At 38.2% G+C, this 16,489-nt stretch overlaps 1 protein-coding gene across 7 annotated transcripts in view, besides 1 other annotated feature; it reads left to right on the plus strand.

Annotated features, from left to right (window-relative positions):
* The window catches only part of LONP2 (lon peptidase 2, peroxisomal), a 118,704-nt gene that overhangs the window by 49,981 nt on the left and 52,234 nt on the right, over nt 1–16,489 (plus strand). For all 7 annotated transcript variants that reach the window (NM_001348078.2, XM_047434738.1, NM_031490.5 and 4 more), the window contains 3 exons: nt 1,735–1,885; nt 5,382–5,508; nt 8,892–9,025. In NM_001348078.2, coding sequence (NP_001335007.1) covers nt 1,735–1,885; nt 5,382–5,508; nt 8,892–9,025 — 412 coding nt within the window. The remainder of the gene's footprint in view (nt 1–1,734; nt 1,886–5,381; nt 5,509–8,891; nt 9,026–16,489) is intronic.
* Nucleotides 6,058–6,352: an enhancer, noted in NCBI's record as "tiled region #13528; HepG2 Activating non-DNase unmatched - State 15:Elon, and K562 Activating DNase matched - State 14:Gen5'". NCBI's record gives its function as "activates a minimal TATA promoter and a strong SV40 promoter by Sharpr-MPRA in HepG2 and K562 cells {active_cell/tissue: HepG2 | K562}" and the evidence as "EXISTENCE:reporter gene assay evidence [ECO:0000049][PMID:27701403]".

The raw sequence follows: 16,489 nt of genomic DNA on the forward strand, positions 1-16,489 counted from the left end.
TCTTAACCAATTCAATACTGAACATAATTAGTTTTCCTTGATTACTTGAAAGTACTTGTTTTTTAATGATATTAAACATTATTAAGTCTTGTGAAAATGTGAAATTAGAGCTTTCTGGGAATTCTAGATAGAGTTTCCAGTAATAATTAATGTTTAACAAAATTCAGAATTATGTATGAGGCCTAGAATTAAGACTAGCTTGGGGCTGGGCGTGGTAGCGCACGTCTGTAATCCCTGCACTTTGGGAGGCCAAGGCAGGTGGATTGCTTGAGGCCAGGAGTTTGAGACCAATCTGGCCAACATGGTGAAACCCCATCTCTACTAAAATTGCAAAAATTAGCCAGGTGGGGTGGTACGCACCTGTAATCCCAGCTACTCAGGAGGCAAAGATTGTAGTGAGCTGAGACCATGCCACTGCACCTCAACCTTGGTGACAAAATGAGACTCTGTCTCAAACAAAACAAAACAAAACAAAACAAAAAACTAACTTTGGATAGTTTTGAAAATAAGTAAAACTTCAGAAAGAATCAGAAGGTAGGAAAAACTGCTTATATAGTTAAATTGTGGTTGGTGAGTATATTAGTCATTTTATTGCCTTTTTGAATATGTATGGCAACCCTATTTATAGTAATTGGGCGTAAGTGAGAGTGTTAATATGTTTAAGGTTTGGAACATGTAGAAGCTGTTGGTGCCTTATGAAAGTTCTGCACCAGCCCCTTAGCAACAAGTGCCTGTGACTTGAAGCTCTTTAATGTACAGTTGCACATTTTAAGAATCCAAGTTGACTGATAAATTATCTAATGTATCTAATTCAAATATTTTTAAGAGCTATTGTAATCCCAGTACTTTGGGAGACTGAGGCAGGCGGATCACTTGAGGTCAAGAATTTGAGACCAGCCTGGCCAACATGGTGAAACCCCATCTCTACTAAAAATACAAAAGTTAGCCAGGCATGGTGGCGCACACCTGTAGTCCCAGCTACTCAGGAGGCTGAGGCAGGAGAATCGCTGGAACCCGGGAGGCGGAGGTTGCAGTGAGCTGAGATTGTGCCACTGCACTCCAACCTGGGCAACAGAGTAAGACTCTGTCTCAAGAAAAAAAGAGTTATTGATGTTTTGCTTATTATAAGCAGCAATGTTTTGTAGTAAGCCATTTTTAAATAGTGAATTTTTTGCTGTATCAGAATATAGTAGCATAGTAATTTTTACTCTTATTTAACTCATAGCAAAGGTTACTCTTATTTGGAATTCTCCTTTCAGTTAAATAATTTATACCAGACTTTCTGAAAATGTTTGAGGAGGATTATATGGGTTCTTATTTACTGGTTCTTTGAGAATTTCAAAATACTTTACACATTTGCTTTATATTCCCATAGCAGTTTAGATAGGGTGTGTTACCAAGATGGAAACTGGTTCTGCAGGACTGGTAACTTATGATGGCCAAACAATGAGTCATTAATAAATAGATTTTTGAACAAAGCTTGAAACTGTAATTTCTGCTGCTTTGTGCTATTACATTTTCAGAAATTTTGACACTGAACGTATTTTATTTTTTAAAAAGTATGTAGAATGTAGAGAATGCAAATAATAATGCTCAGATGTTAGTTTTGTCTGTTTCTTAAATTCTTCTGAGCAGAAATACCAACCTTGCCAGTACATCATGTGTGTTTTCACTTATATACAGCCTTCTGTTGGCACTACTAAAGTTTTTAAAATGTTTTTTGTTCTCCCCTAGGTGTTGGATCCTGAACAAAACCATAACTTCACAGATCATTATCTAAATGTGGCCTTTGACCTTTCTCAAGTTCTTTTTATAGCTACTGCCAACACCACTGCTACCATTCCAGCTGCCTTGTTGGACAGAATGGAGATCATTCAGGTTCCAGGTACCTGACTCTTAAATCATTATGATACATCTTGCCTTTCTGACCATAACTTTAAAATTAGTTATGCTATGGAGTTTTGACTAAAAGAAGTTCATTTGCCAACATACAATCTTCAGAAGTTCTGAGGAATGTATATAAATCAGTTTCTATGTAGCTTCAAAGTCTGGAAGAGCAAAACAGCAAACGTTGACAACAACAATTTCAGATTTAATTAGCATGAAAGAATGATAATTTTATGACAAATAAGACATTCTTCTTTAGTATAATTTCTAAAATGGCAGGCTGTGTGTGGTGGCTCACACCTGTCATCCCAGCACTTTGGGAGGCTGAGGCAGGTGGATCACTTGAGGTCAGGAATTCGAGACCAGCCTGGCCAACGTGGTGAAACACCATCTCAATAAAAATACAAAAATTAGCCTGGCATGGTGGCGGGCGCCTGTAGTCCCACCTACTCGGGAGGCTGAGGCGGGAGAATCCCTTGAACCTGGGAAGGGGAGGTTGCAGTGAGCCTCACGCCACTGCACTCCAGCCTGGGTGACAGAGTGAAACTCCATTTCAAAAAAAAAAAAAAAAAAAGAGTAACTGAACTTTCTCATAAAATCTGGCCTCACTTTTATATTAAAGTGCATGCCGCTTTTAAATTCCTCTTGAATCTGTCAAATAGTTAAATTTTTTAAATGTCTTCCCTGTCACTGGAGCGTGCAAAATGTATTCCTTCAGTTACTAACACTAGATAAGTTATAGCATTTTCACCTTATTTTAATTGCTCAGAATTGTTTTTCCCTGGAAGAGATCAAATATCACTGAGTTTTTTTTTAATGTAGAGTAGAATCTAAATGTCTTTATTTATTTAATTATTTAGAGACAGAGTCTAGCTTGTTGCCCAGGCTGGAGTGCAGTGGCACGATCTCGGCTCACTGCAGCCTCCGCCTCCGAAGTTCAAGTGAGTCTCGTGTGTCAGCCTCCCAAGTAGCTGAGATTACAGGCACTCGTGACCACGCCCAGGTAATTTTTGTATTTTTAGTAGAGACCATGTTGGCCAGTCTGGCCTCGAACTCCTGGCCTCAAGTGATCTGCCTGCCTTGGCCTCCAAAAGTATAAGGATTACAGACGTGAGCCACCATGTCCAGCCTAAATGTCTTTTACTTATTTTTTCTTTTTTTGAGATGGAGTCTCACTCTGTCACCCAGGCTGGAATGCAGTGGCACAATCTTGGCTCACTGCAACCTCTGCCTCCTGGTTCAAGCGATTCTTGTGCCTCAGCCTCCTGAGTAGCTGGGACTACAGGTGTGCACCATCACACCTGGCTAATTTTTGCATTGTTAGTAGGGACAGGGTTTCGCCATATTGGCCAGGCTGGTCTTGAACTCCTGACCTTAGGTGATTCACCCGCCTCAGCCTCCAAAGTGCTGGGATTACAGGCGTGAACCGCCACACTCGGCCCTAAATGTCTTTAGATTCTAAATGTAATCTAAATGTATTTTTCATATTAATCTGAAATATATTTTTACTACTAAGTGAATTATAATTGGATTTCTGTTTGTTTTTTTTTTGAGATGGAGTCTCACTCTGTCACCAGGCTGGAGTGCAGTGGCACGATCTCAGCTCACTGCAACCTCTATGTCCCAGGTTCAAACAATTCTCTTGCCTCAGCCTCACAAGTAGCTGGGACTACAGGCGTGCACCACCACGCCCAGCTAATTTTTGTATTTTTAGTAGAGATGGGATTTCACCATGTTGGCCAGGAAGGTCTCAATGTCTTGACCTCATGATCCACCCACCTTGGCCTCCCAATATAACTGGATTTCTTAATTATCTGTGAGCATTGCAGGTTCCTGTATTTAGTTTTAAAATATGGTAGAGTAAAAAGTTAATTGTGTGTATTTAAAGTCTAAAGTAAATAAGTAATGAATTCCCTGGAAACTCCAAGTTATGGCAGAAAATTCATTAGATACACTAAAGTAAAGTGAAAGAATCAGGACAGCTGCTGCAGAGGGGAGCATATGATGCCACCTTCTTCCTTTGGCAGATTTAGCTGTCCGATCTTCTAGCTTTCCTGGTGTTTACTAACCTCTTTCCATTCAAAAGGTGCCTTATCAATTCATATTTTTAATTTTTGCTTGTTAAATGGAAAGGGACATTAGTTGGAATTTTGTCTTACGGGATTTAGAGACAAAGGAAATCTATATTTATTCAGGCTATTAAATAAGAACATTATGTGTTCTAAATATACTATATATAGAAAAAATACATATATACATACATAAATACATATGCACACATATATAAATACATACACACACACACACACATATATATATATACCATCATGTGGAGGAAAAAACCTTTTATATGGACATCTTAGGTTTTCTTTTGCTGCTACAATTTATTTTATAGTCATAGTTCTGGAAACAGTATCTTTAGAGCCCTTCCCTTGGAACCCACTGCTTATTTAATTGAGGTGTGTGTGTGTGTGTGTGTGTGTGTGTGTGTGTGTGTGTGTGTTTCAAGTATAGATCAAATTAGGCTAAAAAGATGCATTTATTCTTCTATTTGAAATTTCAGAGGATTTGAGGATAAAGAGATAATTGTCTCTAAGATTTGAGGTGTTTTCCTCTTTGGGAAATATATCATTTAATCAGAAAACTTTCAAGCACTGTGCTTAGTAAATGCTTGTTTTGTTTGTGAAAACGTTGGAAATTTTAACAATTATTGACTTAGATCAAATTTCTTTTTCTTTTTTTTTTTGGAGGCAGTCTCTGTTGCCCAGGCTGGAGTGCAGTGGTGCAATCTCAACTCATTGCAACCTCCACCTCCCCAGCTGAAGCAATTCTCGTGCCTCAGCCTCCAGAGTAACCAGGACTACAGACATGCGCAACCATGCTCAGCTAATTTTTTGTGTTTTTAGTAGAGACAGGGTTTCGCCATGTTGCCCAGGCTGGTCTCAAACTCTTAAGTTCAAGTGATCCGCCCGCCTCAGCCTCCCAAAGTGCTAGGATTACAGGTGTGAGCTAACGTGCCTGGCCAGAATAAATTTCTTCATTGTAATTATAGTCTCATTTGAAATAATACTTAAATTTGTTCTAAATCTAAGATCCATTTAATCTACATTTGATTCATTAAAAAAGCATGGCACTGGCTGGGAGCAGTGACTCATGCCTATAATCTCAGCACTTTGGGAGGCTGAGGCTGGTGGATCACTTGAGGCCAGGAGTTTGAGACCAGCCTGGCCAACTTGGCAAAGCCCTGTCTACTGAAAATACAAAAATCAGCCAGCGTGGTTGTGCATGCCTGTAATCCCAGCTGCTCGGGAGGGTGAGGCAGGAGAATCACTTGAACCTGAGAGGTGGAGGTTGTAGTGAGCCGAGATCACGCCACTGCACTGCAGCCTGGGCGACAGAGCAAGACTCTGTCTCTAAAAAAAAAAACAAAAAACAAAGCATGGCATTATGGGAGCCATGTAAATAATTACAAAACAAGATCTCTTCTTTTCCAGGTTATACACAGGAGGAGAAGATAGAGATTGCCCATAGGCACTTGATCCCCAAGCAGCTGGAACAACATGGGCTGACTCCACAGCAGATTCAGATACCCCAGGTCACCACTCTTGACATCATCACCAGGTTAGTTAGCCATCCTGAGGCTTCATTAACTCCAGGCAACTTTTGAGTATTTACTGAGTTACCAAACAGGACATAGAGTATCAATATTTGAGTTTTTCATCTTTTGAGATAAGCCACAGTCTCCTGAAAAGGAGATTAGTTTATTGGCATCCCATAGCATCCATTTCTCTTTCTTCAACAACTTCCAGCAAGTGTTATCATAACTATTGATTTACACCGTTCTCTACACTAGGCAGAAGTTTACAGAGAAACCATTTGGAATATTGTTATAGCTAAAGCTGAAATTTATGCTTTGCCACAATAGCAATATAAGGGGTTAATTTGATCATTTAAAAACCAAATACATGGCAAATATAGAGACACTTTTTATGCCCAGGATCTTGAAAGTTGTTGAATTCTCTTAAGAGGTGATATGCTACTTTCAGATAATCTGATTTAAGTTACTCACTTTTCTTTTCTTCTCTTTGGCTGAGAGATTTTTAAAATCCTTAGAATTTTGATCTTCAGAATTAACACTGGAACAATAGAGAAGGTGCCTTCCCAAGTTTACTACCAAATGCTTAAGCCTGTAGCAAGCAGTGTGTAAATTATCTGAATAGAGTATTGCTTAGTCTAATTTACAGATTCCCTGTTTGAATGGAAAATATACTCTGTTGAGAATTTATATCCACCACAGCCTCTTACAGTTTTCCTAGCTCAGTATTACAGATCCATTGCATCATCCAGCAAGTCATGTCAGGCTGCCAAGCTCTCCTCTTGCGGCCCTTTTCTAGTAACTACTGTTTTTAAGAGATTTGAAGTATCTCTCTATTTTGAACTTTGACTTAGAGTTTGGCCAGACTGTCTTTTGATCTATGCCTTCTTATGGATCTATTTAGATTTATATACAAAGCAGTAAGACTAAGTCTTACCTGGGGGTTCCTTTTCTTAATTTGTCTTGTGATTTATGGTGTAGATAATGCCAGGAGAAATAAATTAAGTGACTTATATGTCTGAGTCTTCCAACAATATCATTATTCCAGATAACACCCATGATGCCTTTGGGTAACTTTCAATAAGTCATTTAACATTTTTGATAGCTTCCCCATCTGTAAAATATGAGGGATGGAGAAAAATCCAGAGTTTATCTGAATAATAATGATTCTGAAGAGTGATCATTATTTATATTTCCCAGTTGTTACCTAGAGAACTGTTTCTTTTTTTATGTATACTTGTTAACTCAAAATATCAGATCTTAAAAGCTGTGGACATAAGGAAATATCTGGAGCAGTTTTGTTAGTTTTGATATTGTTTTTAAAAACAGCACAAGTATGTACTATTCCAGGCACGTTTTTGGATATTTAGTGAGTTACCAAACTTAGGACATAGAGTATCAATATTTGAGTTTTTCATCTTTTGTGATAAGTCACAGTCATAGACCCTAATGTTCTAGTCTTTCTTATCTCCAAGTATAACTCACCTGCTTGAATACTTCCAGTCCCAGTATGCTTAATTCTAGCGAATAACTACCTTTTCATGGGTAATTCTAACTGTAACAAAGATATTCTTTTTATTTATTTATTTATTTTTTAAGACAGGTTTTCATGCTGTTACTCAGGCTGGAGTGCAGTGGCATGATCTTGGCTCACTGCAGCCTCTGCCTCCTAGGCTCAAGCCATCTTGCCATCTCAGCTCCCAAGTAGCTGGGACCACAGGTGCATGCCGGGCGTGGTGGTGTGTGCCTGTAATCCCAGCTACTCGGGAGGCTGAGGCAGGGGAATTGCTTGAACCAGGGAGGTGGAGGTTGCGGTGAGTTGAGATCGTGCCACTGCACTCCAGCCTGGGCAACAGAGTGAGACTCCGTCTCAAAAAAAAAAAAATAGAGATGGGGTTCTCACCATCTTGGCCAGGCTGGCCTGGAACTCCTGAGCTCAAGTGATAATTGTTACAAAGATACTCTTTCTATTCACTTTTCTATAATTTTCTTCTTCTGCCTTATAGGAGCACCTGGAATCTAAGTGTAATTCCTCCTTGTACAGCCCTTCTGACATTAAGATAAAATACTATCAGGTGCTGCACACTAAGTGTTCTCTTCTTCAAGCTAACCATTCCTCTCCTCTGTACCATTCCTCTTGATGTAGTTTCAAGACTTCTCACCCTCCTGATTAGTCTTCTTCTGAAAGAATCCTGTATATCAATGTGTCTTTTAAAATTAAACACCCAGAATTGAACACAGTGTTTCAGATAGAGTCTAAACAGTTCATGGTATAGGAAGCCCATGCTTTTCTTATTCTGACTATATTATTTTATGACTGTATCTCTAGATTCTTAGCTTTTTAAAGATTATTCTCTTCCCTTTTTCAGTGAATTTCGCTAAGCTTGGCATATCCCATTTTGTATTTATAAAGCTGAATTTTTTAAAGCCCAAATGTAGAAGTTGTTAAGATGCCTCCCTGTTTTCTCCCTTATTGAAATTATACGTAGTTGCATAATATAGGCTTTATATCCTTCTATACCTTTGACTGAAATGAGTATTAGAGTGTTTAGCTAAGAGCTTTTTATCTGTCTTTTCTCAGAACTTTTAAAATCTGCTTTCCTAAAGTCTACAGTGTATGTCTGACTTAATCAAATGTATGGCTTTGTCAAATCCAATTCTTCAGATAAAACTGCATTCTCCACCTGATCCTGTCCATTCAGGTCCATCCAAAGCTGAGTGGCCAAAAGTGGTTTCACTATATAATGGTCTGTGGAATGACTTAACGGAGTTTGATTCTAATGTACATGTGTTTAAAGCAGCTCTGCTTAAACCACACATAGCATCTTTTTCACAAAGTCCTCAAAGTCAGTGCTGTCATCACTTAGCATACCTTCTTCCTTTAGAAATCTTCACAATGAAAATACACTGAAGAAAGGTGGTTAGCAAAGTGCCTAGTGAAAACCAGATTTCTGTCTCAGATTTGTTTTTGTTTTAGTTCCACAAAGAGCACAATTTCTCTTATTCTTTCAGTAGTATTTCAAATACAATGAATTTATCTAGAATTTTCCTAAATTGACAAATTTTGTTTAAGAAAACTCTTCAACAAATTACCGAGGAGTAAATGGTTTTTTATATGCTGCCAAGTTTACTTTGGCAATGTAAATTGAACTAGAACTAGGGTTCATTTTTAAGTGTAGGATTATAATTCAAGATAATCTGTATAAAGGAAATTGTTGTAGCTGAAAATAGATCAAAGTATTGAAGAAATAACAATAATGAGGAGTTTTAAGTGTGGAAAAGTTAGTACTCAAGAAAGGGTAATGAACTTTTAAATGTACACTGTTTTACCAAAAATGTTAATCACATTACCTCTCTATTTTTTTAAGTGGTATATAGTCAAAAATAAAATATTTTTGTTTGATGACAGGTATACCAGAGAGGCAGGGGTTCGTTCTCTGGATAGAAAACTTGGGGCCATTTGCCGAGCTGTGGCCGTGAAGGTGGCAGAAGGACAGCATAAGGAAGCCAAGTTGGACCGTTCTGATGTGACTGAGAGAGAAGGTTGGTGACCTTGTTCTGGCATTCTCAGGCCTGGTGGCTAGGAGTGAGTGACAGAAGAAGGTTGGGTATGGAGGGGAAGGTGTTGGGTAGTCCTTGGAGCAGTGGCACACATGACTCCACTGTTAAATGCATCCAGTAAGTAATACCTTAATGTTTCAACATATTTCATCCAGAGGATTGTCTTTTACAAATAGCACAGTTTTAACTGGAATAATAATATGAATGCTTTGAGGATATAGGAACTGTATTAGGGTTCACTAGAGGGACAAGACTAATAGGATAGATGTGTATATGAAGAAGAGTTTAAGGAGTATTAACTCACACAATCACATGGTGAAGTCCCACAATAGGCCATCTGCAGGCCGAGGAGCAAGGAAGCCAGTCCAAGTTCCAAAATCTCAAAAGTAGGGAAGCCGACAGTACAGCCTTCAGTCTGTGGCCGAAGCCCCAAGAGCCCCCAGCAAACCACTGGCGTACGTTCAAGAGTCCAAAAGTTGAAGAACTTCGAGTCCAATATTCGAGGGCAAGAAGCATCCAGCACGGGAGAAAGCTGAAGGCCAGAAGATTCAGCAAGTCTGATCCTTCCAGCTTCTTTTCTCTGCTTTATTCTAGCCATGCTGGAAGCTGATTAGATGGTGCCCACTCAGATTGAGGGTGGGTCTGCCTCTCCTAGTCCGCTGACTCAAATGTTAATCTCCTTTGACTATATCCTCACAGACACACTGGAACAATACTTTGCATCCTTCAATCCAAAGTTGAAACTCACTATTAACCATCACAGTAACTTTCTCCAGATGTATAATGATGGTGTACGTTATGTATGGGTTCTGGTGTTATCTTATTTCTTTCTGACCCAGACAGTTAAGTCTTTAAATAATTTATAACATAAAAAGTTTTTACAACATAAGACAATCCATGCTGTTCAGGTACTGCAAGGACAGACCTTTGTACTCTGGAATAGCTCCATGTGTAATAATTTTTCACACATTTTCTTTTATGGATAAACAACTAAATGTAATTTAAATTATTCTTTAAAAAATTATTGTGAAGGTGTTCTATTACTGGAATTAATCAAATGTGGATGTTCCTTTGGTATCTACTTAAAATGTTTTAACTGGCCAGGCACAGTGGCTCATGCCTTTGATCCCAGCACTTTGGAAGGTTGAGGCAGGCAGATGACTTGAGGTCAGGAGTTTGAGACCAGCCTAGCCAACACGGTGAAACCCCGTCTCTACTAAAAATACAAAAATTAGCCAGGCGTGGTGTTGGGCGCCTGTAGTCCCCGCTACTCTGGAGGTTGAGGCAGGAGAATCGCTTGAGCCCAAAAGTCAGAGGTTGCAGTGAGCAAAGGTCATGCCCACTGCACTCCATCTGGGCAACGGAGCGAGACTCCATCTCAAAAAAATAAATAAGTAAATAAAATAAAATGTTTTAATTTCTTGCCCCAAAACTGTAAGGGGTCTCAGTTCATCATATCATGCTGTTATGCAGTTTGCCAAAACTTGCTTTAACAAACATGAGTTGTAGGGAATTGACAATTTCTTTCATAGTAAAGAGATTTATTAGATTTTTCTATCATTTCCATAGCTGTTTCCAGAAAGGAGTTGGATGACTGTGATTAAAGAACCATAATTTATGGTGGACCCAGTTGAACAGACACAGCCAAATGTCTTTCTTGTTTTTCCATCAGTCGCTGAACACAGTGCATTTTACAGCAGTAGCATCAGAGTCAGCTTTCACAGAATCCTTCTGTGGCCAGTACAGTGCTTCACCCCTGCCTCCCCACGCCTGGAACCTCACTGGTTCATTTTCTCCAGAGAGCGAAGCTCCTATCTTCTGTTGGATTGGAGGGAGGCAGTGCCTTCATTATGTGGAGTAGGAGTAGAGGTAGTGAGTTCTAATTGTATTTTATCCAGACTTTAAAACTTGTGCTTTATTTTTATTATTTTTATTTTATTTTACTTTTTGAGATGGAGTCTCGCTCTGTCGTCCAGGCTGGACTGCGGTGGCACAATCTTGGCTCACTGCAACCTCCGTCTCCGAGGTTCAAGTGATTCTCCTGCCTCAGCCTCCCCAGTAGCTGGTACTGTAGACGGATGCCACCACGCCCGGCTAATTTTTGTATTTTTAGTAGAGACAGGGTTTCACCATGTTGGCCAGGCTGGTCTTCAACTGCTAACCTCAGGTGATCTGCCCACCTTAGCCTGCCAAAGTGCTGGGATTACAGGTGTGAGCCACTGCGCCTGGCTTTATTTTTATTTTTTATTTTTACTCTGCCTTGGGAGAATCTAGAAAACTTTTGCCTTTTGTCCCACTCTTCATCCATGCTTTCAGGGCTACCTTGAATTCTTTAGCTTTTGTAGACTTTTAGGACCCACATCAACTTGTTGTTCTCTATCTCTAGCCCCACAAATGTTGAGGTTTCTGCTTTCTCTAGCCTGTTAAGTGTTGGTTACTTTTTGTCCATGTACTTTTTGTTTCCCAAAATTTTGTCAGCATCTCTTGTCAGCTGATGTCCTCTTTGTCATTATTTTTGTTCTTGTGGGTTTATATATTTTTTATTTCTTAATTGTCATTTTAATACTATTCAGACAGGAAGTAAAAACGCATGCTCAGACTACCATTTATAGAAATTTGAATTTAAAAAAAATGTCCTAGGTGAGGGAGTACCTATCAAGGGTGGAAATCACTTGTGTAGATGACAGTGACAGTGGAGAACTGAAGTCTATAAAAGTTAAGACCTAGATCTAGATGCTCCTGAATTTCCCCTTTTTATTCTTAACAACACTTCCTTTGTGCTGTGATCTCAAGCAACTGAGCCTAGGTCTTTTTATTCTTGTCTGATATAACAGAAGGTAGAGGATGAAATAAATGAGTTTATTAGGTAACACATTTTGAAAATTGTGTTTAAGATTTAGATGATATATTTTAGAACTTCTAATAAATTCAGAGGAATTCAATGTCAAAGGAAACTTTTGTATAGTTATACATTGCTTAATGTTTATACATACATCCATGTAGCATACTTCTAATAATATCTTTAATTATACTAGTTATTTTAAAATAACCCACAAATACTCAAGGAATTGTTCAGTTTGTGAACTGTGTGAGAACTACAGTTTTTCATGGTAACATTTATTTGTGTGGTTTTTAAAAGTGATCACAGGACATCTCCTAAAAGATAATATAGTTAAGCAGATTTGCTTAGTTAAGATATTACCAAGAGCATCTAGATGAATAATTAGAATAAATACTTGTCTCTTGGAGACGATTTTGGGTGTAGTCTTTACTAGAGGCATAGGTATGGACTCCAAGTTGGCTCTAATATTATGAGATACCCTTGAGTAAATAACAGCCATTCTCTAGACCTTAGTAGAATGATTATTAGGTGTCCTGAATTGTTTATGACCTCAACCAAACCAAAAGAATAATTTCTACAAAAGAGTCTATGTTAGGTTTTCATAGCACCAAGTTCAAATGGAGCTTAGTAATGAAAATTTTCTCATTAAGAAATGAATTAATTAAAATTAAGAGCATAAAATAAGACAGTTGTTTTAGAAACTTCAAGTAATACAGTGTGGGAGTTATTTTTAATGTTAAAAATAAAGCTTTCCTAATTCAAGCACGAGAGACAGAAAAAAAATAATAAGGCTGAACTTGGAGTTACTGCCAGGAAGAAAAGTAATTTTAGGCCACAAGCTTCAAAACAGGCAGAAACCTCCAGTGTATCAAACAAACTTTCTGGAATAGGCCCAGAAGCACTGATCTGTGAACAGTTGTCTTTGTATTTGTGGGGTCTTAACTGGCAGTTAAAGAGACTAAATAATAGCAGGGAGTTTAAAAAGCAGGTGAGATTTAGAATTGATCGATCTGTGTTAGCGGAGGAACATTTATGGTTTCAGTCACTTACCTATAAAGTATGAGAATTGTTTCTTTAAAAGAATGCTGCCTCTGTTTTTCTGCATGTTGTTAGTATTTTCTGAATTGCCGTTTTCCTTTCTAGGGTATTTGTTGGGTTGAGAGATTAGTTGGATTACATGACTACAGTTTTATTCTGCTTTTTGCCTGCCTTTTGCCAAGAAAGACACAAATGTCCCATGTATTTAATTTTGCACACTTCAGTGTTTCTAAACAGGGTAAATGTTCATTTGTTTAAGTACCCATGTATCATATATTCAATTTATATCTAGCAAGATTTTTCCTCAAAAATTATCCTAAGCAAAGAAGGATTTATATTATAATCAGTCCTTATAAAGTTTCTCATAATACACTGCATTCTCAATTACTTTATTTTTGAAGAACATAGTATTTGAGGAAGTTACATTAAACAGAAAGAACCTGGGTAGATACTAGTTTCTGATTATTTTCATAGAAGTCACCTGAAAAATTGGTTAGAAAAAAAAGACAAAATTAATACAAATTTAACAGTTATTTGTGAAATATGTAAATGTTGTGTTATTCCATTTTGCTGTGCTACAAAGGAATACTTGAGGCTGGGTAATTTATAAAGAAAAGAGATTTGTTTGGGTCAGAGTTCTGCAGGCTCTATAACAGGCACAGTGCTAGCTTATAAGGTGAGACCTTAGGTAGCTTATAATCATGATGGAGGACAATGGGAGAGCAGGCATGTCACATGGTGAGAGAGGGAGCAAGGAAAGAGCCAGGGACCTTTTAACAACCAGCTGTCATGTGAACTCATTACCATGGGGAAGGCACCAAGCCATTTATCAGGGATCTGCCCCTGTGACCCAAACATCTCCCAGTAGGTCCCTCCTCCAACATTGGGAAACAAAGCTATAGTAACCAAAACAGCATGGTACTGGTATAAAAATAGACACATAGATCAATGGAACAGAATGCAGAAACTAGAAATAAAGCCACAAATCTACAGCCAACTGATCTTTGGCAAAGTAGACAAAAACGTACACTGGGAAAGGACAACCTATTCAGTAAATGGTGCTGAGAAAATTGGATAGCCATCTGCAGAAAGAATGAAACTGAACCACTCTCTCTCTTATTTTATATAAAAATCAACTCGAGGTTAGGCTAGGTGGCTCACACCTGTAATCTCAGCACTTTGGGAGGCTGAGGTGGGTGGATCACTTGAGGTCAGGAGTCTGAGACCAACCTGGCCAAAATGGTGAAACCCCGTCTCTACTAAAAATACAAAAATTAGCTGGGCGTGCTGGTGCATGCCTATAGTCCCAGCTACTCGGGAGGCTGAGACAGGAGAATCACTTGAACCCAGGAGGCGGATGGTGCAGTGAGCCGAGATCGCGCCATTGCACTCCAGTGTAGGGGTATCGCAGCGAGACTCTGTCTCAAAAAAAAAAAAAAAAAAGTCAACTCAAGATAGATTAAAGACTTAAATGTAAAATCCAAAACTAAAACATACTAGAAGAAAATCTAGAAAAAATTCTTCTAGACGTTGCCATAAACAAAGAGTTCATGACTAAGACCTCAGAAGCAAAAGCAACAAAACCAAAAGTAGACAGATGAGACTTAATTAAACTAAAAAGCTTTTTATACAGCAAAAGAAACAACAGAGTAAACAGACAGCTTGCAGAATAAGCAAAAATATTTGCAAAATACATATGCAAAAGACCAATACCCAGAATCTACAAGGAACTCAAGCAACTCAACAACAACAAAAGAACCCCAAATAACCCCATTAAAAAGTAGGCAAAGGAGATGAAAGACATTTTTCAAAAGAAGACATACAAGTGGCCAGGAAGCATTTGAAAAAATGCTCAATATCACTAATCATCAGAGAAATGAAAAATCTATGAGATACCATCTTATACCAGTCAAAATGGCTATTTTTAGAAAGTCAAAAGTAACAGATGTTGGTGAGGATGTGGAGAAAAGGGAGTGCTTATATAGTGCTGGGAGAAATGTAAATTAGTACCACCTCTATGGAAAACATATGGAGAGTTCTCAAAGAACAAAAAATAGAACCGTCATTTGATCCAGCAATCCCACTACTGGGTATATACCCAGAGGAAAAGAATTCATTATGTCAAAAAGATACCTGCACACATATGTTCGTTTTATCTGATATAAAAAGTCTGTTTTATCTGGTATAAAAAGAATGGAATCATGCCTTTTGCAGCAATATGGATGAAACTGAAGGCTGTGACAATAACTCAGAAATTCAAATACTGAATATTCTCATTTATAAGTGGAAGCCAAATAATGTGGACATATGAACATAGAGTGTGGAATAATAGACACAAGCATGAGCTATCATGCCCAGCCTCAAAAAATTTAATTTCCCTCTTAATTTTGTCATTGACCCAAAGGTTGTCCAGGAGCATGTTGTTTAATTTACATGTGTTTGTATATTTTTGAGAGTTTCTCTTCAGATTGATTTTTAGTTTTATTCCATTGTGTGAAGATACTTGATATGATTTTGATTTTTTTTTAAATTTATTGAGACTTGTTTTGTGGCCTGACGTTTGGTCTGTCTTGGAGAATGTCCCATGTGCTAATGAGAAAAATGTATCTTTTGTGGTTGTTGGGTAGAATGTTCTGTAAATGTCTGTTAGGTCCATTTGGTTTTAAGTTCAGTGTTTCTTTGTTGACTTTGTCTGTCTCAGTGTTGAAGTCCCACATTTTGTATTGCTATCTGTCTCTTTTCTTAGGCCTAGTAGTATTTGTTTTATTAATCTGGTACTCCAGTTTTGGGAGTATATACTTAGGATTGTTATATCTTCTTGTTGAATTGATCCCTATGTCATTATATACTGGCCTTTAAAAAAAAAAAAACTATTGTTGATTTAAAGTCTGTTTTATCTAATATAAGTATAGTTACTCTTGCTTGCTTTTGGTTTCCTTTTGCATGGAACATTTTTCCACCCCTTTACCTTCAGTCTGTGTGTCTTTAACAGTAAGGCAAATTTCTTGTAAGCAGCATGTAGTTGTTGTTTTTTAATCCATTGCACCAATTTATATCTTTGAAGTGGTGCATTCAAGGTTAATACTGATGCATGAGGTTTTGTTCCAGTCATAATGTTAATTGCTATCTAGTTGCTTTGTAGATTTTTTTTTTTCTTTTAAGCAAGAGTCTTGAGTCTTGCTCTGTCACCCAGTCTGGAGTGCAATGGCGCGATCTTGGCTCACTACAACCTCCACCTCCCAAGTTCAAGCGATTCCCTTGCTTCAGCCTCCCAAGTAGCTGGAATTACAGGTGCATGCCACCATGCCTGGCTAATTTTTGTATTTTTAGTACAGACGGGATTTTGTCACGTTGGCCAGGCTGGTCTCGAACTCCTGACCTCAGGTGATCCTCCCGCCTTGGCCTCCCAAAGTGCTGGGATTACAGGCGTGAACCACCGCAACCAGCCAGCTTTGTAGATTCTTTGTTTGTTTTTTGTTCCCGCTTTGTGGTCTTCTGGAGTTCTGTCATGTTGCCCTTTTATTTCTTTCTTTTCCTTATTTGTATAATTGTTTCATAAAACTTGT

This window comes from Homo sapiens, chromosome 16, assembly GCF_000001405.40.
Source record: "Homo sapiens chromosome 16, GRCh38.p14 Primary Assembly".
NCBI lineage: Eukaryota > Metazoa > Chordata > Mammalia > Primates > Hominidae > Homo > Homo sapiens.